Raw genomic sequence first — 26,034 nt, 5'->3', positions numbered from 1 at the left:
TTGCCTTGGATTCTCCAGAACCTGAAGGACAAATCAGCTAAGTAGGCCAAACAGCAAAGATTGTGGCCTGCCCCTCCCCCTGGGAGCTTCTCCTGAGGGAGAGGTAAGGCTGCTACAGGTAGCTGACTAGAATTTTAAGCCAGTGGGTCTTATCCTGTGAGGTGTGGTGAAAGCAGGGCCTGCAGTTTGCCTCTGCTCAGCCCTCTGGACTCAGCCCCTTTCCTGGGGTGTGTATGGGGGTGTAACCTCCCACTTTGCCAGAGTTACAGCTGCTTTTGCCAGGAAGCTGTGAAAGCCGGAATATCTAAGGCTCCCAGGCCTTCACATGTGCCTGAATGACTGCTCTGCTGAGATCCACATAGCTCTATGTGTCAGTCTGAATGCCCTGGTGGAATGAGTTAAGGAGGAGATCTCCTGACCTGAGGGTTGCAAAGATCTATGGGAGAAGCATGGGTTCCTAGGGTCACACGTTCACTGTTTTCCTGGACCAGGGAGGTTCCCATGGCTCCATGTCTCTCCTGAATGCTTTTCTCCATTCTCCATGAGTCGAGTATTAGTCCCAATGCATGTACCTGGGTGTTTCAGTTGAACATGCTATATTTACTTGGCCTTTCTGTTCCTCTCCATGAGAATGGTGCACATTAGCTGCTTCTAGTCAGCCATCTTGGCCACCCACTACTCCTTCTTTTTAAAGGCTGAATAGTATTCCGTTGTGTATATATATATCACAGTTTCTTTTCTTTTTGTTATTTATTGACACTAGTCAAGTGCAGTACTGAGAAAGAGTAGAACAAGGACTTTGATCGGCAACTGACTATGAATCAGTTGAGATGAATCAGTACCTTCAGACAAACCTGTAATATATTTTCTTTCTTCATTCATCCGTTGATGGATTCAGGTTGATTTTCTCTTAGCTACTATGAATAATGCTACAATGAATATGGGCATGCAGATATCCATTCAACATACTGATTTCATTTCCTTTGCATATATATCCAGAAGTGGGATTGCTGGGTCATATGGTAGTTTTATTTTTAATTTCTTAAGAAACTTGCATGGTGTTTTACATAACATCTGTACTAATTTACATTACTGCCACAGTATGCAAAGCTTCCCTATTTTCCACATCCTTGCCAACATTATCTTTTGTGTTTTTGAAGATAGCCATTCTAATAGGTGTTAGGTGATATCTCATTGTGGTTTTATTTTGCATTTCCTCGATAATTAATGATGTTGAACATGTTTTCATGTACCTATTGATAATTTGTATGTCTTCTTTTGAGAAATACCTATTCAGTTTATTTGCCATTTTTAACTAAGTTATTTATTTTCTTGCTACTTTTGTTATTGCTATTATTCTTACATTTCAAAAAGACACCACTCATGTGAATGTATGAATGCAAACAATGTTTTCTGTTTTAAGAAACTGCAAACTAATAAAAATAGCAATGACTAATATTTATTGAGTAGTTGTTTTTTTCCAGGCATTATTCTAAGGTGTTTTCTTATATTACAAATGTTATCCTCTAAAGAACCCTACATGAAGATACTATTGTTTTTACTGTTTCACAGAGAGGAAATGTAAGACACAAGAAATTACACAATTTGTCCAATTTATCCCATGTAGTAAAGCTGTAGAGAGAGGTTTTGAACTAGCTATTCAAGCTTCCAATGTCTGTGTTCTTAAACCACAATGCAACTTCCCCTCAGAAGAGACACATCAATCTTTGATTTGATTATAACAAGTAAGATCTTTTGTGCTCACTATTGGTCGTCTGTCCCTTTCCTCTAGAGAAAATAATTTTACTCTGACATGAAGTAGCACTTTCTAAAAAACCTCCTGTGAGTAATTGCCATTTAGAATTGATTTTCATCTCTACAGACAACTTGAATAAAACTTTTCTTTCCATCAGTTCAGTTCTTAAAACTCAAGGAGTATCAGTCTATTGCCAGCTAACTCCAGGTTCAATAACAAATAGGAAAACACAGTCTCCACATGAATAACTTTTATAGTTTGTCCATTAGAAAGTGCGAGAGTGTGATGACCAAGCACGATTTGCATCTGCTTCCTCAGCAGACTGCCTGGTAGATGAACAACCCCCGGCAGTTCAAGTGAAATATTTAGTAACTAAGCAGGGAGTAGTATGAAAGCAAATTATATACACTGGAGAATTGCATGACAGGAAATGTTATGGTTGGGCTTGATATTAGAATGTATTACCCTCACAATCGCCTTTTCTATTCTCTAAAAAATCTTAAGTGGCACTTTTCTGAGGAACAGTGGTATGCTAATTTTATTATTGCAATAAACTATAATTTGACTTAAGGATTTTATAATAACCAGATATATTTTCAAAATCTATATATTTGAGATATAGATCTCACATATAACTAGGAAATATTAAAATAAATTTGCTCATAAATTTTATTTTTGCTATTTTAATCAAATTATATGAAGGACCAAAGTTGATATATTTCATCCATAATTCTAGTATTTACTAATTATTGATGTAGCACAGAGGTGGACAAACTATGGCCCAAAGGTCAAATCTGGTTCATGGCCTATTGTTATGTAACCCACCAGCTAAGAACGAATTTACATTTTTTAGGAGGTTATGAAAAGAACAGAAAAAGAATATCGTATGTGCCTCAAAATGCCTAAAATATTTAATATATGGCCTTTTACAGGAGTAGTGGTGAACCACTGATTTATCTTCCAAATTCTTCCATAACATACTTCCAGTTTTTTTTGTGTGTGTGTGCTACCCAGGCTGTAGTACAATGGCATGGTCTTGGCTCACTGCAACCTCTGCCCCCTGGGTTCAAGTGATTCTCCTGCCTCAGCCTGCCGAGTAGCTGGGACTACAGATGCATGCCACCACACCCGGCTAATTTTTGTACTTTAGTAGAGATGAGGTTTCACTATGTTGGCCAGGCTGGTCTCAAACTCCTGACCTCGTGACCCACCCACCTTGGCCTCCCAAAGTTCTGGGATTACAGGCGTGAGCCACCGTGCCCGGCTGCTTCCAGTTTTTCTTTTTCTATGTAATTATTTCATTTTGTTAAATACCCTACTTAAATTCTGGTATCAGGTAGTATTTTATCCTTTAATTTCCAACATGTGATTCTGGTGTTGTAATATAAGGTCAATCAATTAAATTCATTATATACTTTACTAAACTAGTGTTTGTTACACACTTTAGGAAACACACCTGAGAAACCATAGCCTGGGACCTTTATCTGCACCTGAATATCAAGCTTATGCCTGATATCATCCCAAGTTAGATTTGGGGAGGTTTCGCTGGATTACCTTAGTGTATTTTAACTGTGGGCGGGTTGTAACTCATTAAAGCTAGAGGGAAGATTGTGGTATCTAGAATTCAAAGATGGCCTGCCTATGGACCAGGCCTCCTAGTATGTATTCAAGTACACACTTGTATAGTTCCCTTTTTTATTGAATTTGGGTTTGCTTTTGGTAACTAATAGAATGCAACAGAAGTGACATCATGTTACTTTCAAGCTAAAAAGTCTTGTAGCATCTACCTTAATCTCTCATAATACTTGCTCTGATAATGCTTCCCCATAAAATCTAGGAAACATTTGGTAAGAATCTAAAGCTACATGGAAAAGACATATGTAGGCAAAGAGCCCTAGCTGAACTCTTACACAACAGCCAGCATGAATTACCAGTTATGTAATTGAGCTAGCTTGGGCATCTTGTTTTATAAGGCCTTCAGGTGATTTCAGCAATGGCTGCCATTTGTATGCAATCACTTGAAGAATACTAAGCAACAACCACCCAGCTGAGCGCAATAAGCTTATAGCACCATGAGGGATAATAATAAATTGTTTCAAACCATTATGTTTCCATGCAGCAATAGATAACCAGAATAGCATGTTGCAGACATTCTCTGAGCATTTTCTTACTTACAGGTTCATTTTGTACTTTATGCCCCACCCCTAGAATCAACCACCTCCTCAAAGAACCCTAGTTTTAATTAGTGGAGAATAATATTTAGAAACTAATATCTAGGTGCTGATAGATGATCTTATTGCTATAAGAGGTCTCTACTTTGAGGGCCTCTCAGGGGACAGAGCTAACATTATATATTATATATAATGTTATATATAACATATATATTTATATATCATTTATATATAACATATATATTTGTATATCATTTATATATAACATATATATTTATATATCATGTATATATAACATATATATTTATATATCATTTATATATAAATATATAACGTATATATTTATATATAACATATATATTTACATATCATTGATATGTAAATATATGACATATATTTACATATCATTGATATATACATATATGACATATATATTTACATATTGATATATACATATATGACATATATATTTACATATCATTTATATATACATATATGACATATATATTTACATATCATTTATATATACATATATGACATATATATCATTATATATACATATATAATATATATCATTTATATATACATATATAACATACATGTCATTTATATATACATATATGACATATATATTTACATATCATTTATATATACATATATGACATATATATCATTTATATATACATATATAACATATATATGTCATTTATATATACATATATAACATATATATGTCATTTATATATACATATATAACATATATATCATTTATATATACATATATAACATATATATGTCATTTATATATACATATATAACATATATATGTCATTTATATATACATATATAGCATATATATGTCATTTGTATATACATATATAACATATATGTCATTTATATATACATATATAACATATATATGTCATTTATATATACATATATAACATATATATGTCATTTATATATACATATATAACATATATGTCATTTATATATACATGTATAACATAGATATGTCATTTATATATACATATATAACATATATATCATTTATATATACATATATAACATATATATCATTTATATATACATGTATAACATATATATCATTTATATATACATATATAACATATATATCATTTATATATACATGTATAACATATATATCATTTATATATACATGTATAACATATATATCATTTATATATACATGTATAACATATATATTTATATATCATTTGTATATACATGTATAACATATATATTTATATATCATTTATATATACATGTATAACATATATATTTATATATCATTTATATATACATGTATAACATATATATTTATATATCATTTATATATACATATATAACATATATTTATCTATCATTTATATATACATATATAACATATATATCCTTTATATATAAATATATAACATATATATCATTTATATATACATATATAACATATATATTATATATCATTTATATATAACATATATATTTATATATCATTTATATATAAATATATAACATATATAATATCATTTATATAACATATATAGTTAATATATATCTTACATATATAATTTATATAAACACATTATATATTATATATAATTTATATAAACACATTATATATTATATATAATTTATATATATAATATCTATAAAGTTTTATATATAATAGATAATTTTTATATAATATATATAAAGTTTTGTATATATATATTTACACACACACCCAATATCGCCATGAGTTCACACCGAAAAGCTTAAGTTCTAAGCCAACCCCACGGAGATTATTGAAATCATTCCCTTTATCATGTTTATAACTCTCATTTCTGAAAACAAATGTACAATTTCATCTATCTCCCATCTTCACACACTCAGGTCTTACTTCCCCCAGTGTAGATGTCCCCCTTATCAACTCCATACCTTGCAAAGACACCAATGCTATACCCATCTATTATATGAACTCCCACCTTTACTCCCACCTTTTTCTGTCTGACTTTTGGACAGAATGAGAAAAGAAATGAAGGAAGGAAGAAGCAAAGAAAGGAAGGAAGAAAAGATTTTATTTTATTTTACTTTTTTTTAGAGTTGAGGTCTTGATCAACCCAGACTGGATTGCAGTGGCACGATCATGGCTCACTGCAGTCTTCAACTGCTGGGTTCAGACAATGCTCCTACCTAGGCCTTCCAAGTAGCTGGGACTACAGGCACATGCCCCCATGCCTGAATAAATGTTTTAAAAATATTTTTTAGAAATGAGGTCTTGCTCTGTCACCCAGGCTGGAGTTCAGTGGCGGGCTCATGACTCAATGCAGTCTTGAACTCTTGGCCTCAAATGATCTTCCTGCCTTGGCTTCCCAAGTCTCTGGGATTACCAGCATGAGCCATCATCCCTGGCCAGAAATATTTTTAATGATGTTTTGGGAGAGACAATTTGGCACATGTTGATTTATATTAGGATTGGAATATGAAGAAAACAGTGGAAGACTGGCCAAAAGGATATTGCAAAAATAAGGCAGAGGTAATGTGACAAAATGGAGAATAAACATTCTAAAGTGCTTGAGGGCTGAATCAGTACAGGGTTGATACAGAAGAATAAGTATGTTTCAAAGTTTAAGGCTTTAGAAATTGGGGTTGGGGTACAGAGCAAAGAAAATATTTTTATGTTAGTGTTCTTAGAGTGGAATAGTCATTAAACATATTGTTTCATAACTTTGCAGTTGATTTGTGAAGCAAATATGGAAATCAAATATCCATGTGGCTGTAGTCAATAAGAAGAATCAGTGGAATAACGTCTAATTGGATAATTCACTACAACCTCAAATACAGTATACTCAACCCTTAAATATAACACTGTGGCTTAGGGTTTGATAGGTAAAACCGAGTCCAAAGATAAATTGAACATTGGACATGTCACAGATAAATTCATCTAGTAAATAAAAGCAGAAAACTTGAGATTTTTTTTTTTTTTTAGCTTTCAAACAAATTGTACTGTCTTACAAAATACTGACACCTGTGTTAAGAAGTTCTCATAGGTTACATCATAGTAGATTTTTATCCTGATCTCAATCAATCATTGAAAAAGAGGTCAGATTTGGAAGAATTGAAAGTGATTTAGAATGAAAACTGATTGAGGCAAAAGTTTTTAATTCTTTTTAGGGAGCTGCGGTTTCTCTTTTTTTTCCTCTCAGTAAATTATAGGTAATAGTATGAACTTCACATCTAACGTCTACTCACATCTTCTTAAAAGCCATTGTTTTAACCCTAGCACTGTACTGACTTGGAAACTGATAATTAAAACTAGTAAGTACTGGTGAGCTGCACACACATTCCACAGCCTTATTGTTTACAGAATAGAAGCTGTTCTTTATCTTTTCCATCAACATCTTCCATATATAATCTGTTTCAATTTTTTAAAAACTTGTTAATCTGTTATGCAAAATATGGTCTTCAACATTCACTATTTTCACTAACCACAAACAAACAGCATTCTTTACTTCCAGAATTTAATAGGTAGGTATTTTCTTACTGAAAAGAAAAATCTACTATTTAATCTGCTCTATAATTTATTGACATTGTTACACCATTAAAAACATAAAACTAAACAAACCAAAATATATATTCAGCAGACTGGATACTCAAAAGTTATCAAAATTCTCCAAAGATACCCAATTATATAATTTTTAAAAACAAATACTATTACTATTGGGGAAGCAATGATATGTATTAGATTGTAATAAATCAGTGAAATATATTGTAATATTTATGGTATCTAAGAACAGAATGCATAATTATCAACTTTAATAGATAGAAAATAACATTCAAATATATGATGATAATAAAAATTGTTATAATAAGTGGTTAATCTAAAAGATAAGGGAAAAAAGGAAACATTAAATATGATAGGTCAAATAAAAGAAATAGTAAGAGGTATACATAAACCACATGTATCAGTAATTACATTAAAAGTAAATAAAATACTAAATGTCAAAGATTATCTAATTGAATCAAAAAGTAAAAGCAATAATATACTACTTAAAAGAAGTACACTTTAAGTATAGACTGTAGATAAAGCTATAGGGCTGAGCAAACCAAAGAAAGTAATAAGGTTGACTAAACCAAAGAGTAAACATAACTATATAAGTATTGGAAAAAGTAAACATTAAGATGAGAATTAAAGACATATGAAATATTTTCAAAAAGTTCATAGACAATGTGTATGATGAAAAAATTATGCATGGATTTCAATTCTTTTGTTGGCAGCAAAACAAACATACTAGCTTGTTATTGCATGTGAAGGATATAAGACATAAGTTTGAACAAAGCCCCTATCAGAGAAACATGATTTCTGCTAAAATTATTTGATACATTGCCAAACTGCTTTCCACAATGGCTGAACTAATATACTTTCCCACCAGCAGTGTGTTAAGTGTTCCCTTTTCTCTGCAACATCACTGGTATCTGTTATTTTTTGACTTTTTAATAATAGCCATTCTGGCTGGGTGTGGTGGCTCATGCCTGTAATCCCAGCACTTTGGGAGGCTGAGGCAGGATTGCTTGAACCCAGGAGTTTGAGACAAGCCTGGGTAAAACCCCTGCTTGAAGAGATGGCAAAACCCCGTGTCTAGAAAAAGATAAGAAAAAAATAGCCAGATATGGTGGAGCACATCTATGGTTCCAGTTACAAGGAAGGCTGAGGTGGGAGGATCCCTTGAACCCAGGAAATCAAGGCTGCAGTGAGCCACGATCACACCATTGCACTCCAGCCTGGGCAACAGAGTGAGACTCTGTCTCAAAAAATAATAATGGTAGCCATTCTAACTAGTGTGAGATAGTATCACATATAGTTGTAGTTTTGATTTGCTTTTCTCTAATGACTAGTGATGCTGAGCATTTTTTCATATTCTTGTTGGCCGCATTGTAGAAAGGGGACACTTACACACTATGCGTGGGAATGTAAATTGTTCAGTAGTTGTAGAAAGCAGTTTGGTGATTTCTCAAAAAACTTAAAACAGAATTGCTATTCAACCCAGCAATCCCATTATTAGGTATATATTCAAAGGAATCTAAATTATTGTATCATAATGACATACACATGTGTATGTTCATTGCAGCACTTTTTGCAATAGCAAAGACATGGAATCAACCTAAATGCCCATCAGTGGGAGACTGGATGAAGAAAATGTGGTACATATACACCATGGAATGTTATGCAACCATAAAAAAGAATAAGATCATGTCCCTTGCAGCAACATGAATGGAACCGGAGGCCATTATCCTAAGCAAATTAATGCAGACACAGAAAACCAAATACTGCACGTTCTCACTTATAAATGGAAGCTAAGCTTTGAGTACATGTGAACACAAAGAAGGGAACAACAGACACCAGGGCCTACTTGAGGGCAGAGGGTGGGAGGAGGATAAAGGTCAAAAAATTTCCTGTTGGGTGCTATGCTTATTACCTGGGTGACAAAATAATCTGTACACCAAACCCACAATTTACGAATATAACAAACCTGCACATGTACCCCTGAACCTAAAATAAAAGCTAAAAAAAATTAAAGCAAGAACAAATATCACATTTATGATGAAGCTTGACTGGAATAATACTTAAATTATTGATACTTTGTAAGAAGTTTTAGGGACAATGCCCCACCAACAGATCAGCAGTTTACAAATGGATAACTCATTTAAAGAGGGGATGAGATGATGTTAACAATGAAGCTTGCAGTGGCAGCCCATGCACATTAATATGTGAAAAAAAAATCTTGTTCATTTCCTAATTGAAGAGGACAAATGATTAACCATGGAAACAATAGCCAACACTATAGATATCTCAATTGGTTCAGCTTACAAAATTCTGACTAAAAAATGGAAGTTGAGCAAATTTTACCCTCAATGAGTACCAAAACCTTTGCCTCCAGAAGACCTGCAGGAAAGAGCAGAGCTTTCAATGGAAATTTTAAACAAGTAGGATCAAACTTCTAAAGCATTTCCTTGAAGAATTCTAACGGGAGAAGAAACATGGCTTTACCAGTATGATCCTGAAAACAAAGCACAATCAAAGCAATGGCTATCAAGGAATGAACGTGACCAGTCAAAGCAAAACTATACCAGTCAAGAACAAAGGTCATGACAGCAGTTCTGGGGGATGCTCAAGGAATTTGCTTGTTAACTTTCTCGAGGGCCAAAACAAAGGGAAACAAAACAAAACACACCACACACACACACACACACACACACACCCCAAAAACACCCAGGAAAACTTCACCAGAGGGTAATTCTTCACTAAAACAATGCTCCTGTTGATTCCTCTTATCAAAAGGGATCAATTTTGTGAGAGTTTTGATGGGAAATCATTAGGTATTCACCTTACTGTCTTGATTTGGCTCCTTCTGACTTATTTTTGTTTCCCAGACTTAAAAAAATTTTAAACAGGTATCCATCTTTCTTCAATTAATATGGTAAGAAAGACTGCATTTACATAGTTAAGTTCCCAGGACCCTCAGTTCTTTAGGGATAGACCAATTGGCTGGTATATCACTTACAAAAGTGTCTCAATATTAATGGAAGCTACGTTGAGAAATAAAGGTTGTTTTCATTTTTATATTTTAATTCAATTTTCTATGAACTTTTTGAAGTCCCCTTGTCATTTCACAATAATGTAGAAGTTAAAAAGGAAGACACCTTAAATCTAAATGTGAATAGCCTGTAATATAGCCCCAAAATATAGCAAAAAAAAAGCTGAAATATTTCAATAAAGGAATAGCTAAATCACAATCATAGTGGGAACATTTAATATGTTTATTTCACCAACTGTTAAAACAAGTAGAGAGAAAGTTAAATATATATTTGTAAGACCTGAATAATACAATTAACACATTTGACCTAATTAGCATATATAAAATATTTCAACACAATGAAAGAACATGTATTCTTTTCACGGGAATATATAACATTTTCTGATATTGACCTTATGTCATTTAACAAATTTCAAGGTATTGAAATTATTTAGAGACCATTCTTGGACATTATAAAATTAAACTAGAAATCAAGCTAAAGATAAATCCTCAACTGCTTGGAAATTAAGCAATATAATTTTATATTATTGATTTCATATATTATATGATTCTCTAGATATGTACATATAAGCTAAAGAGGAAATCAAAATGGTAACTAGATAATATTTAAACCTTAATATTAAAGAGAATATAACATATAAAAATTTGTGTGATTCAGCTGAAACATTGCTTAGAAGGAAACTTATAGTATTCTATGTATAAATTTTAAGAAGATAAAAATCTGAAACCAGTTATGTAAGCTTCTGTTTCAAGAATTAGCAAGTGAATATCCAATCCAATTCAGAAGTAGAATGAGGAAAATAATAAAGACTATTGCTAAAATTAATTTTATTTTTCTCTTTCTAGCTGTTTCTCTCTATCTCTCTCTCTCATACAATAGATAAATTAACAAAGACAAAACTTGATTTAGTAAAACTATTAATAAAATCAATAATTCCTTAGGAATAGTGATCAGGAAAAAAGAGAAAACACAAATTACTAATATCATGGGTGAAAAAAGAGACATTACTACAGATTCTATGAATATGGTAAAAAAGATAGTACATAAAATATCTTTATGCTAGTAAATTAGACAATTCTGTCAAAAAGGGCAAAATTTTAGGAAAAAATATACTTTGTGAATACTAAAACAAGAAAAGACAGAAAATATAAATATTCCCACACATATTAAATAAATTAAATACATTATTAAATTTATTTTCAGTATGAAAAGCTGAATGTCCAAGCTCAGATAGCTTCTCTGGTAAATTCTTTCAAAAATTGAAGGAAGAAACTTTATTAATCTTAGAAGAAATCTTTCCACAGAATAAAAAAAGGACAGAATAATTACTAATTTATTTTATTAGAGTCACAAAATAATCTATAAGAAAACTAATAGAATTTATAAGTGATTTCACTAAGATTGCTGGTGACAAAGTCAATATACAAAATTAATTTTGATTTTTATATATTGAAAAAATAAATAGAAAATATAATACTACTATAGTATTAAAAATTAAATATCTAGTAGTTAATTTAGCAAAAGATATTTAAGATGTCTACACAAAACAGTACCAAAAACTATGAGAGATATCACTGACTATATAAACAAATGGAGGAAAGTATTGTGTTTATAGATCATAAAGCTGAATGAACTAAAAATGTCAAGTTTTAAACATTAAAGATTCAACATAAGCTTTATCAAAATCCTAGAAGTACTTGTATACTGGTCAATGTTTAGATGTATTTAAACCTATCAAAATTAAAAGAATGTGTCAGTGACACAGGGATAGGCAAATAGACAAATGGAAGAGAATACAGAATCAAGAAAATAATAACTGTATAACCTGAATAACTATAATTAAATTTAAGAGACTTAGTAGAAATGTTAGACAACATGGATAAACAGAATTTTGGATGATAAATTAAAAACTATAAAAATGAGAAATTCCAGTAGATCTAGCAAATAGAAATACTAGAAAAACAAAGCACAATGTCAAGGGTAAAATGTTCTTTAATAGCAGACTAAACAGAACTGGAGACATAATCAGTACACTTAAAGATATGCCAATATAAATTGTTCAAAGTACAACAAAAGAAGAAGAAAGATTTAAAGAAAAGAATATTAGAACTGTGTGACAGTTGTATATATGGAATTAAAATTCCAAAAATAGAAGAGACAGATGATGGGGCAGAAGAAATATTTGAAGTGAAAAAAAGCAAGCATTTTTCAAAATCAATGAAACAGCAACAAACCACAAAAAGCCCAGAGGACACCAACCAGAATATAGAAAAACCAAAACAAAAGCATACTTAGATATAACATAGTCAAACTGGTAGAAAATCAATGCCCAGTAAGCAATCTTAAAGGCAGTATAAAAATAACAGTGTATTTGGAAAAACAAAAAATTACAAAAGACTTTTTTATCTGAAACAATGCAAAAGAGAGACAATGGAACAACTTCAAGATACTGAATGAAAAATAAAGCTGTCAACCCAGAATTCTATCCCCAATAAAAAATCTCTCTTAAATTTGAATGTAAAAAAAGACTTTTTCAGAGAAATAAAAGATAATATATTTGAAATAAAACTTCATTATGACATTACAAGAAATTCTTTCAAGCAGAAGGAATGTAGTATCAGATGGAAACCTGTATCCATGTAATAAAATTCACCAGAAATAGTAAAAATAATTTTCAATCTGAAATAAAGTTTTCTTATTTGTATTAATGTTAAAAGATAATTGACAATCTATTAAGAACATATGGTGTGGTTTATATCCCAAAAGTTGTGATAGAAAAAAAAATATAACTGCTGGAAGTTTCTGACACTGTACATAAAGGACTATAATATTATTTGAAATTTTACTGTAATAAGCTGAAGATGCATGTTGGAAGCCATCCTCAATCAATAAAAATAAAAGCCTGAAGAAAGGCTAAACTATTAACTATTAATACAGATGCTTACTTTAAAAATAAATGCTAGCAAACTAAATCCAAAGGTATATTTTTAAAGTGTTACTAGTGGCTGGGTGTGGTGGCTCACACCTGTAATCCCGGCACTGAGGTGGGAGGCTGAGGTGGGTGGATCATGAGGTCAGGAGTTCGAGACCAGACTGGCCAACATGGTGAAACCCTGTCTCTACTAAGAATACAAAAATCAGCTGGACATGGCAGTGGGTGCCTGTAATCCCAGCTATTTGGGAGGCTGAGGCAGGAGAATTGTTTGAACCAGGAGGTGGAGGTTGCAGTGAGTTGAGATTGCACCATTGCACTCCAGCCTGGGGGACAGGGCGAGACTCCATCTCAAAAAAAAAAAGTGTTACTAGTACAGTACATTTAAGAAATGAAATAATGTTTAATATTAGGAAATCTTTTAATATAAATTATCATAAGTGAAAAGCTTAGGTAGACAGAATATTTGATAATATTTAAAATCCAATTCCTAAATATTAGAACTCTATAAAACTGAAATGTAAACATGTTTTATTTTCATTGTAGAAATATTGAAAGCCTTCAGACCATTTAATTACAATACACTAGACTAGAAGCATTACATTTGAAACAAAAATAAGACAAGTGTAGCCATTATCACTGCCTTGATCTTACATAATTCTGGAAGTGTGAACCAATGAGGTTAAAAAAGTGAGTCAATTTATAATATATATATATATATGTATTATTATTTTTTTTATTTTTTTTTTTTGAGACGGAGTCTCGCTCTGTCGCCCACGCTGGAGTGCAGTGGCACGATCTCGGCTCACTGCAAGCTCCGCCTCCCGGGTTCACGCCATTCTCCTGCCTCAGCCTCCTGAGTAGCTGGACTGCAGGCGCCCGCCACCACGCCCGGCTAATTTTTTGTATTTTTAGTAGAGACGGGGTTTCACCGTGTTAGCCAGGATGGTCTTGATCTCCTGACCTCATGATCCGCCCGCCTTGGCCTCCCAAAGTGCTGGGATTATAGGCGTGAGCCTCCGCGCCCAGCCTATAATCAATATTTTTATATAATAAGATTATCTACCTGAACAAGATAAAAATATTACAAACTTTTTGAAAGAAAATGACAATTTCATTATGACAATTTTATTATGCATATGTAAACAATGGTAAATCAAAAAACCCTGAATCTTCAATATAAATAAAATTCCTATTTATAATGCCAACAAATATAGAAAATACAAGAAATTAAAATACATAACAATTATTTACTTTACTCAATTGCATAAAGTTACAATGACGGAATAATATCTTGATATGTGAAAACAAAAGGAGATCATTAAAACACAATAAGAAATAAGGAAAAAAAGGCAAGTATATATGAATAGATATACTAAAACTCGTTACTTTCATTTCAAATTAGGATGGACATACAAATGGCCAAACATTGGAAAAATGTAATATATACAATATGCAAAATGAATATACAACTCAAAAATGAATTTCAGAAAAATTAAAGTAGTCTGTGGTGAAATGAACACACAAAATAATGTATGAAGAAATTATGAGTGAATATTTATATAACATACAAGTCAGGGAAAACATTTCTAATTGTGGTATCAATAACAGAATCTTTTATGAGAAAATACGAGAATTGAACACATGTTTAAAACATGTTTACACCAAAATAAATAAGAAAGTAAGTACATAAATAAATAAACGAGTAACATGTAAAGAGGGGAGAATATGTTGCAATGTATTATTATATTTCATGATCCACAAAATGATCTTAAACAGCAATTTAAAATAGACAAGTACTCCAATACAATAGGAAACAACATGAACAGGCAATTCAAAATTGTAAAATAAATACCATTAGATATAAATATTTTTCCTCAATATGAATCAAATAACTATTTATTTAAAGCGTATTTTTAATTATTATTTTAAAAAACACCAATGAAGTAAAGTGTTAAATAATGGACATTTTTATATACAACTATTACATTGTAGTTTTATATAATTCTACACGGCATGATGGAACAATTTTCCAAAAGGCTTAAATGCATTCCTCTATACCTCAAAATTCCATTTCTAGGAATATTTTCCTCCTAGGGAAGTAATTGCATAGGTACAAAACATGTAAATATATAACAATATGACATTAACAAGTTTGTAAGTAAATAGAAAAATATATTTAAAATCTTCTTAGCTTTCTTTCATTTCATGGTCCTTCAAGAACCTAGAATAAGTACATCTTTTATATGTATTTTTGGAAATAGAAATTTATTAGGCATAAAATATATTTTCAGATAATTTGCTATTTGTATCCCAATTTTTATGTAAGTCTCCATTCTCCTATGCTTTCATATATATGTTTTGCCAATATATGTCTACAGTATGCGAGCACTGGAATGTGAAAGGCCCTTGGCATAATTTCAAGTGAAATATAACTTCATTTAATTGTGTTGATTCTTTATTGAATTGTTGTTCCTTTCAGCCTGAATGTCTCAGATTGATTTCAAACAAATGCAGCAACAAATCAAGGTGTTCTTCCTTGGGAAGTGATGGGTGTTTTGCCTACTGTCAATCTCTGGGTAAGTTCCATTAACATTTCTATCTCTTTGTATAGAGTTCTGAGTTTTGATTGTTTGTTTAGACATTATATCTGTGTCATTTACAGTTCTGATATGCTGAGTATTTTAGATATTTAATTTAATAGTGAAGATAGACTCTGAATTTAGGGATGCCAGCTTTACCACAATCACCACAATCAATAGACAGTAAGCACTATTATAAAAGCATCATCGTACATCAAAATCCTATCAGATAGTCTGATCTGCTGTAAAGGTTGTCTGAAGTTGCTGGTGTTATGCCTTTGGACAAGCTATTGACCTTCACTGTCTTATTGTAACATTATAATTTGATTGAAATAAATGGCTTTTGTAAATACTCTCAATTAAAAAATAGTGCAGTGTTTAGCACACAGACTTTGGATTAGCCAGATTTTTGTTGGTATCCGTGTTCCATTTTTTTAATGGTTGCATAACACTGGGCAAGTTAATTAACTGAAATTACTTTATCTCTGAAGTGAGAACAATGAGAGAGACTAACTTATAGGCTAAATACTGGGCTAAACATTTTACATGCATTTTTATTGAAATTAGCCCAGTGCCTGATGCCTGATTGAAGTGGTTATTGTTCAATGTTGAATTTCCAGCATCTGTTCCCCTTTTCTATATTTGAGAAATATCCTACTCTGTGATTCTTAGACCACCTCTCACCATAGAAGCCAGCTACCTGTTTTTCTAATCTCTGTCGCAGTTATGGATAGACGTGTATTAGATGCTGTTAATTACATCACTGGAACTAGTGGTTATAAATTAAATGTCTATGTCAGTTGTATTTGGTGAATGTTGTAGCAGAGGCAAAAGCTACACCTAATTTCCTGTGGCACTTAAGAAAGCTTTATCATGATTTTCAGTGGTGCTCCTGAATATCTTATCCTCAAGAATGTTATGATCCTTTTCTAGATTATTTATTTCTATTAAATAAAGTTATTTTCTACTTAAATTAGCCAGCTTATTTCTACTGCAGAAAACTAAGAACTTCACGTGAAACATTGGCACATAATACTAGTCTTCAAATGGTAGTTGTGGTTAATAGCTGCAGTAGAAACTGTTATTGTATTAAAATATAAATGACTAAATGTTGATAATTGCTGAAGCTGAAAGATGAAAATACAAAATTTTATTACATTATTTGCTCTTCTTTTAGGTATGTTTGAAGTTTCTATGATAGTTTAAAACATTTACATAAGTATATGCATTACAGATACATGTGCACACAGGTGAAAATTGATTCTTTACAGATGTTACATATACAGTTTATTTTTGAAACCAAGTGAAAAAGTTAATTGTAAGAACTGACAAATTCCAAAGATGAGGTTTTATTCTGCTTAAATTTAATTTGATATTGTGACTATCTACTGGCCTCACCTAGAGGTTGTAAGCATAAGTGATGTGAGAGGATAAGCAGAGATCTAAGTTTTCATTCTGTTTCAATATATTAACCAGCAATAAATGTTGTGCTTAAAATTTTGATCATGCAATTTCTCCAAAGAATAATATTTTACATTAAAATGTATGGTGAAGCAGTGTGTAAAATAAGCAAGTTATAAGTAACTTAAAAAAAGTTTTAGGAATGAATACTGCCAATAAAATTAGGCCTTAGTCAAATGATCTGCTTGAGGTATATTCCACAACAATTACTGTCTTTGGAATTCTGAAGTTACAATTTAATTATGGTAAAAATATTAAAATAACTAATGCCAAGGATGTGCTTCATTGTTGATATCAGACATATACATGCATCTGGAGATATTGCTAATGCAAATAAGATGTTTTCTTTAGCCCACTGAAAGGCATAGCAAGAAAAAATAATAGGGATATTTATGGTACAATTTGTCTGTTTAATCATGAGGTGGAAGAGAATAAATCTAAACCAGTAACTGAATAGGAAAACAATTTTGTACTGAATTGCAAAGTATTATCATATCTCATGAGCATATTGTTTAAAATGAAACTCTAAGTTATTTGTGAATAGGAGCATGGCCAGAAACTAAGGTCCGACATCACTGTGTAATTAATAGATGGAAATCAGTTGAATGGGAGTTACTCTTTTTGTAGTCAGAATGATACCCTAATATGGGCAGCAGAGTCAATGGAATCTGTATAAATATACAAATTCATCAAGAACTCTAAAATTATTAAAAGTACTTCAAATTTTATGATAATGAGTATCAGCCTTTATATACATACACATTTGTATATCCATTTGAATTTGATGCAAAATCATTTCTGGGACACTTAATATAAATTTGTGAATAGCATCTTCACAGAGAAATATTTTTTACTAAATATCCCACTAGTTTTGTCTCCTAAATGTAATTCAAATCCCTTCTCATCGCCACTGTTTATGTTCTGGTAATGGTGATTAACATTTTTTGCTGGGATTAACACAAATGCCACTTAGCCAGTTATCCTAATTATTGTCTATCCACCTTCAACTCATCTTCAGGTACCACAGTGTATTGATTGGTTCTAAGTAAACAATTTTTCATACTTTAGGTTATTTGAAATCAGAATACTTTTTACAATCACCATCAGCCGGGTGGCAGTCATAATGAGTTTATTTATTAGTGTCTATCTGAAAGTCAAGTGTCTCAGTATCATAACTTGCATGGGTGTTGGTGACATTAAAAAAAAAATCTCAGGAAAAATTGTGGAACAACATTCCTAAAAAGGAAGTCAAAAGTAAACTAGTTTTACATGACTGCAAACTTAGCTCTTGAGCACTAATGACTTTTAGTTCTTTCATCAATTCTTTAAGAAATGTATTATCAATATTCTTGATGGCATAGAGGAAGATTTGGTGTATAAAATTATAGACATTGACCATTCTAAGTTGAGAAATAACTCAATATTTAGATACTTATTAGGAGGAAGTTTTGAAAATAACTTAATCCATTTATTTTTATTATAATATTTTTTGTTTGGCCAATGTTGTGATCATACCTATAATCCCAGTGCTTTGGGAGGCTGAGGCAGGAGAATTGCTTGAAGCCAGGAATTTGAGACCATTCTAGGCAACATAGCGAGACCCCCATCTCTACAAAAAAGTTTTAAAAATTTAGCCAGGCGTGATGGTACACCTGTCCCAGCTACTGTGGAGCCTGGGGCAGGAAGATCACTTGAGCCCAGGAGTTTGAGGCTATAGTGAGCTACGATTATGCCACTGCACTCCAGCCTGGGCAACAGAGTGACATCCTGTCTCTAAAAATAAAAATTAAAAAAAATCCTTTTTAATGTATCCACAAACGTGATACTGATAAATGTGATACCAATTTATAATAAAAATCTGTTTACTTAATTTAAAAAATAAATAGCTCTTTTAGCAAATTTAATAATTGTTAGTAATCAGAAAGCATTGCTTTATATTTTAATTAGCAGTATTTTATTAGCGCATTTTAAAACCCTTGGCATCTTGGTTCGTTGATTATCCTGTGTCACCTATCTAATAAGTTTATCACCAATGAACAAAAATAGGTATCAATATCTCCCTGTTGCCTATGAAATAGAGTCACAATTCATTATCATGATGAGGGGCACTTTAGGTTGGGTTATCTAGAAGCAGAGACCAAGACAGAATTCTCGTGTAAGGGATTTGCTAATGTGATGCTTTCACATGAATTGTGGATATCTGGGAAGCAAAATAGGTGGAAGAAGAATCAAAGTAGGATGTGTGCTGAGTTGAAGTCTGTGTAACGTCTAAGTAAAGTTATGTGTTCAGCTGATACTATGGGGAGCTTGTCGTCATTCTGTACTGTATCAACATAGTTAAGTTGAAACTACATTTTCCAGAATCCTCTCCCCTTTATATCTCTCGGTTTATCATTGGCTACAAGTGATATCTGCATAAAATTTAGAAGGCAGAGGTAAGTAACAGCCATTCTACCCTGCAGGTCAGTGAAGGGCGCAAGATGCTGTTGCAGATAGCTCCCGTTATTGCTGATCTTGTGGCTCACAGGCCTAGTGGAGACAGCAGCTGGTTCCATGCTCTCATTTGATTTCTTCCTTCAGTTCCCTAAGTTCTGGATCAGATGAATGTGCAGAGACCTTCCTGGTGTTGGTCTCCAGCTTCATCGACAGATCAGTTACATTATCATGATTGGAGTCAGAGGGAGACAGACACAGGTTGCAGTTTGTGTTCCTTGGTTCCAGCCTGCCTTAGTGAGCTCCAGTTTGTTCTTTATGTCTAACTTCTTACTAACAGCCACTCTGGTGAGTTTTAACAACTTCAATCTACCACCAGATGCAGAGGCAACTGTCTTCCTTAGACTACTTCATGATCTTTCACAATTTCTTAGGTCTAATGCAAAATTACTTATTCCAGACAACTAAAAATGATCAGTTGTCTGATCAAATCCTGAAAAACACAGACCACTAGAACATGAATATCACTACAGAATCATTCACACAAGACCAAGGGGCCATGCATTCCTTTCTACCCCACATCAGTCACTGACAATGGGCCAGCCCCTAGGAGTAACCTCCAAAGCATCAATGAGAAAGGTGAGTCTTTTAGACCAGGGGACAGTTCTTCTGAGAAGAGTGTAGCAATTAGTTGTTGGAGGCCAACACTAACATTTGCTGGGGGATGCCAGTAAGGGGAAGGAGATCTGGGTAGGGAACTGGTAGCACCTGCTACTACAAGCCTTCACAAATTTATCCCTCTACGTAGTTTGTAGCCTAATTTTCTGATACTTCACATGGGCCGTAAACTTTGATTATCATCAGCCTTTTTTCTATTTTCCTAACAACACTCTTTATACTTCAAACCTAGACATATTTTCTTCTCATTCTGCATGGAAAATTGCTATGCAACCCACTAGATTATTCTCCAATGCTCCTTCTTTGGGGCTATCACATCACTGTGCATTCCTCTATTATAATAATTATTATGTTATTTGCATTACAGTTACATCTCTGATTTTTAGCTTATGTGTTTTGTAACTCCAAATTTCCTATTATTCAAAGTAGATAGGATTATCTCTGAAAGGTTAAATTGCCTTGTACCTTGTGTAATTGAAATTAGAAGACTAGCAGTATTGCATTTTTAAATACTTAATACTTACAATGTATGTATGCATTAAGAAGATTCTAATTCAGCTTTGCATGAATTACTATATTCTTATGGGGAAAGTTAGGGCAAATGGAGATTAGAGCATGTGGCCTAGAGCACCTGCCATTTTTTTTTATTTGGTCTTTTTTTTGTATGTGTGTTTTTTAATTACTCCTGCAAATGAAGAGTTCAATGAACAAATTGCTTGCATTTCTGTGTGTTTATAAAAGAATGCATGTGAGATTCATTTACTCTCTGAGGTTCTAGTTTGTAGAAACTAGTTCTGACAAGCAGTTCTAGTTTCACCACTATTTCCATGTAATGTATCATTAAAAGCTACTAAAAGGAAGATAAGTAGAAGAAAAGGTAGAAATATAATTAAAAACTAAAATTTTTGTGGTAGTTATAGTTTGTAATTTCTAGAAGTTATTATAGGATTTTAAGATCAAACCAGAATTACATGTGTAGAATTTAAAGAATCAGATATTGGAAGTAGATTCTAACTCAGTGGTTCACAGACAGGTGTTTGGAGTAAGGAAGCTTTATGTGGGTAATTCAAATGAGATAGTAGTTAATGGAAAATTGATCAAAGCACATATGATGTAGAACCAAAAGATTTTTTTCCTAGAGGATATTCTTGGGAATAAAAACATGCTAACTGAAGATATGAACAAGGAAATAACTGGTAAAATGACACAGGACAAGAAAAATCAGAAAGCTAAACAAAACATGCTGAAGATTAGTCCTCAAATTTTAAATTGTTCTCATTAGATATAAACAGTGCAATTATCCAAGCAATTAATGTTAGCTGCTGTAATAAATAACTCAGAATTATCAGTGCTTAACACAATAAAGGTTTATTTCTTGCTCTCCTTATGGACTAATCAGGCATTTGGCAGATGGCTTTCCATATACTTCAGGGATCATGGTTCCTTGCACCTTGTGTTGCCACTGCATCCTCTTCATTCAGTCAGTTAATAGAGCAAGGAATGAAAGAAAATGTATGACATCTTATGACTTTCTAGATTTTTCCCAGAAGTAGTCACTAGTGCTAAAACCTTCTAGAGGACTGGAAAATGTGGAGAAAATTGATTGCTGCTGTCGTTTGAATGTTTATGTCCCCTCCAAAATTCATGTTGAAACTTAATTCCCAATGCATCAGTGTTAAGGGGAGTATTCTTCGAGAGGCAATTAGGTCATGAGGGCTCTGCCCTCATGAATGGATTCCTGCCTTGTAAAAGGGCTAGAGGGAAATAGTTTGGCCCCTTTTTGCCCTTCTGTTTTTCCACCATGTGAGAATACAGGAAGAAGGCTCTCACCAGACATCGAAATACAGTCACCTTGATCTTGAACTTCGCAGCTTCCAGACCTGTAAGAAATACACTTCTATTGTTTATGCATTACCCAGTGTATGATATTTTGTTCTAGCAGCACAAATGCACTGAGACAATTGTTGTGTATGTAGCTGGTTTCTATCATAGGGTTGTGTTTATGAGCTGAGCTGGGGCTCTGTAGTCTGCTTGAGTTCAAATTATGACTCTACTGTTTATCAGCTCGGAAACCTAGAGCAAGTTAACTTTCCCTCAAAGTGTCAGTTTACCAATAAAATGAGGCAAACAATAGTATCTACCTTGTAAGATTGTAATTTGGGTTAAGTGAGCTAATATTAATTTTAAGTAGTGTTTTTGCTGTTGATATTTATATTCTGCTGAAGAAAAACAGAAAGGAATAATTTATAATTGCCATCATGTAGAAACATTCCATGCAAATACTACTGAAATGTATACGATCCTCCATATAAATGAGAAAAAGACTTTTAAAAATCCCACTGGGTAGTAGAAAAAAAAATGCATACAGCTCAAACTTAACCCTTACCTCTAAGTGAGAATGGGAAAATAAAAGAAGAAAACAAAAATAGATTCTGATTCTATACCTGTAATCACTTTCCTATTCTACCCCAGGAGCCTTTTAGATATTCATGCAAACATTATGTACAAGTATTTCTCTAGATTATGGTTTGTCGGACTCAGCATTATATGTAGACTAGAAAAAGAAAGACAGGATACAGCAATACAAAGGAAAACAGTCAAAACCAGTCAAAGCTAGAACTGAGACATCTGCTTTGGTTATAAGCATTCCAGGGACAAAGGGGCAAATGGAAAGATAAATTTATGACTGCAACAGAAAAATGGGAATTTGAATGGAAAAAACATATATGCATTGGTATAGCCAAGTGTTCTTTTCAATCAACCTAATCCTTCACTTTCAATCTTTTTACTTTTTTCCTATTTACAACTTATACTTCAGCCCAATTGGACTGCTAGACCATCATGAATAAGAGTCATGTTTTTCTAGTTTTATTCTTTTAGGCATGTTATTTCCTCTACCAGAATAATGTCATTTAACTTCATGTCTAATAACACTTACTAGAATGTTACCAATCTGTATCAATTATGGTAAGCTAGCTGCTGTCACATATAGATGTCCAAATGTATCATATTCAAACCCAAATTGATTGCTTGCTTATGTAACAGGATTCAGTAGGCAATCCATTGACTGACTGGCCCTCTTTCACGCAGGCATTCAGGACATTGAAGGGTCTATAATTTTCTAGCTTTCAAGTCACCCTATGGGGCTCTTTATTCCAATTAGGCAGTAGGGAAAACCACATTAAGAAGATATTCTAATAGTCCAGGCCAGAAAATAACACTTCCTACCCTTGTTGCCATCCAATTAATATAACTCAGTTATATGAACAAATCTAATTGCAAGGGAAGTTGGAAATGTAGTCTAGATATGTGCCCAGGAAGAAAATGAGGACAGATTTAGGTAAGCGGCTAGCAAACTCCACCACACTTACTTTCAAAGTCCATACCAAAGGATAGCCCATTTGTAAAAAGTTTCCTGATTCCCCTTTGTTCTACTAAATGTCTTTGTTAATAGATCTGTCAAATTACCTATCTCATTTGACTTGAAAAAAGTTCGGGAGTTTGGTTTTTTTCAACTGTTTGTCCTTCCCGTTGGGATGAGTGTAAGCTCTCAAAGGGCAAAAACTGAATGTTACTCATCTTTATGTCTTTCCTCCAGTGATTAATGTAATTAATTTACTTCAGAAACACAATTAATATTTTAATTTGAATTTTCTTGGTTTAATTGAAATAAATAAATTCTCAAAAAGTTAAACTTATTAAAATCACAGCTGGTTTCCAGCTTCATCCACATTCTCAGCAAACTATCGCAAGGACAAAAAACCAAACACCCCATGTTCTCACTCATTGGTGGGAATTGAACAATGAGAACACATGGACACAGGAAGGGGAACATCACACTCCGGGGACTGTTGTGGGGTGGGGTTAGGGGGGAGGGATAGCATTAGGAGATATACCTAATGTAAATAACGAGTTAATGGGTGCAGCACACCAACATGGCACATGTATACATATGTAACAAACCTGCATGTTGTGCACATGTACCCTAGAACTTAAAGTATAATAAAAAATATATATATAAAATAAAAAAATCACAGTTGGCAGTTTTATTTAGTAGCAGACTATTTTAAGGCTTAACATACACTTTAATAAAGTCATACTTCAGAAAACACATTTCAGGCATGAACAAGTGATGGCATATGTGTTACAGATGGAAAAGAACAAAAGATGACACTCCCACTTCCAACATACTGAAAATAATTCACTGAGTGTTCTTATAAATAATTGAACTTCTCTCTCAAAATGAGGATAAAACAGTTCACAAGAACAAAAAGACAGTTTTAGAATGAGTGGTAGATGCAATAGAATTTGTAAGGAAGGGAGTCATTACTGTGAGATTAAAGAAAAAGAAACAAATTTAAACAGTAGGATTATATCCCAATGTTATTTTCACATTTTTATTTACTTTAGGAAGGTAGATGAATTACAGAGCTCATCTTGATTCTGCTAAATATTTAAAGTAAAACTGTGGTAATAAAATTTCAAAAAAGATTCTTTAAAAAATATGAATGCCAGCATTGACCGCAGTTGCAGGTTAGTTAATGGGTCCCTTAATAATGCTGAGAAAACTAGCTCCTTCACAGTTCCGATTGAATTTCACCAAGACAGACACCATAACTGATGGCCACACAATACTCTTAAGAGATACATCAAAGAGTCTGTGAAGGAAATTTTGGTATCTATAACAAGGTTGTCAATCCATGGGAAAATATAATCAGATCAGATTATTATTTTTTGTTGTTGAAAGATGTGTGGGATGACTAATCAATTTTTATGGTATACCACAAAGGAAAGATCCATTTAATGACATTGTATACTCCTTAAAAATTAAAAGCAACCTACATAAAGCATTGGTCATGCTGATTCCATGTTTAAATCTTAATATCTGGACAAAATACAGGAGCATGAAATGAAACTACACTGTTAAAGTGCCCTGTTTCATTTCAAATCCAATCACCGTACTGGAGGACTTATTGGATTCTTTTACTGCACTAGAATTCAGTTGTATTTAATATCCCTTGAAATAATTACACTTTTGAAAGTTTCATGTTACAGTGTTTGGATGTAATAGAATTTGTTATTCATAGGATTTGATCTGTATTTCCTAAAAGTCTTAGGAGTAGAATTCTCACATATATTGTCAAGCTTATTGTTACCCGGATAAGGATATGTTGCAGTTCAGAATATATCCCTGAAATGTTAAGAACTTTGCCCACTAATTAAATTAGTTTATAAATAGTCTATCCAGATCCCACAATGGTAGCGTTATAAATGTTCTATCTTATTTGTGTGAATGCAAGTGCTAAAAAGTGTTTGCAATTTAGGGTTATTATCATTATTTCTAGCTATAATTGAGATATTTGGGTAGATTCTGTCTCCATGCATAAAATATGCATTTTACTTGCCAAAAGAATTTCAAATTTG

At 32.6% G+C, this 26,034-nt stretch overlaps 1 long non-coding RNA gene across 1 annotated transcript in view; it reads left to right on the top strand.

Moving 5' to 3' along the window:
- The window catches only part of LOC101929485 (uncharacterized), a 254,397-nt gene that overhangs the window by 115,760 nt on the left and 112,603 nt on the right, over window positions 1–26,034 (top strand). The window contains exon 5 of the long non-coding RNA XR_007095992.1: window positions 15,939–16,035. This is a non-coding gene — a long non-coding RNA (uncharacterized LOC101929485). The remainder of the gene's footprint in view (window positions 1–15,938; window positions 16,036–26,034) is intronic.

This window comes from Homo sapiens, chromosome 3, assembly GCF_000001405.40.
Source record: "Homo sapiens chromosome 3, GRCh38.p14 Primary Assembly".
Classification (NCBI taxonomy): Eukaryota; Metazoa; Chordata; class Mammalia; order Primates; family Hominidae; genus Homo; species Homo sapiens.
Note: the sequence above shows the minus strand (reverse complement) of the source record. Positions and strands in the feature narration are given on the sequence as shown.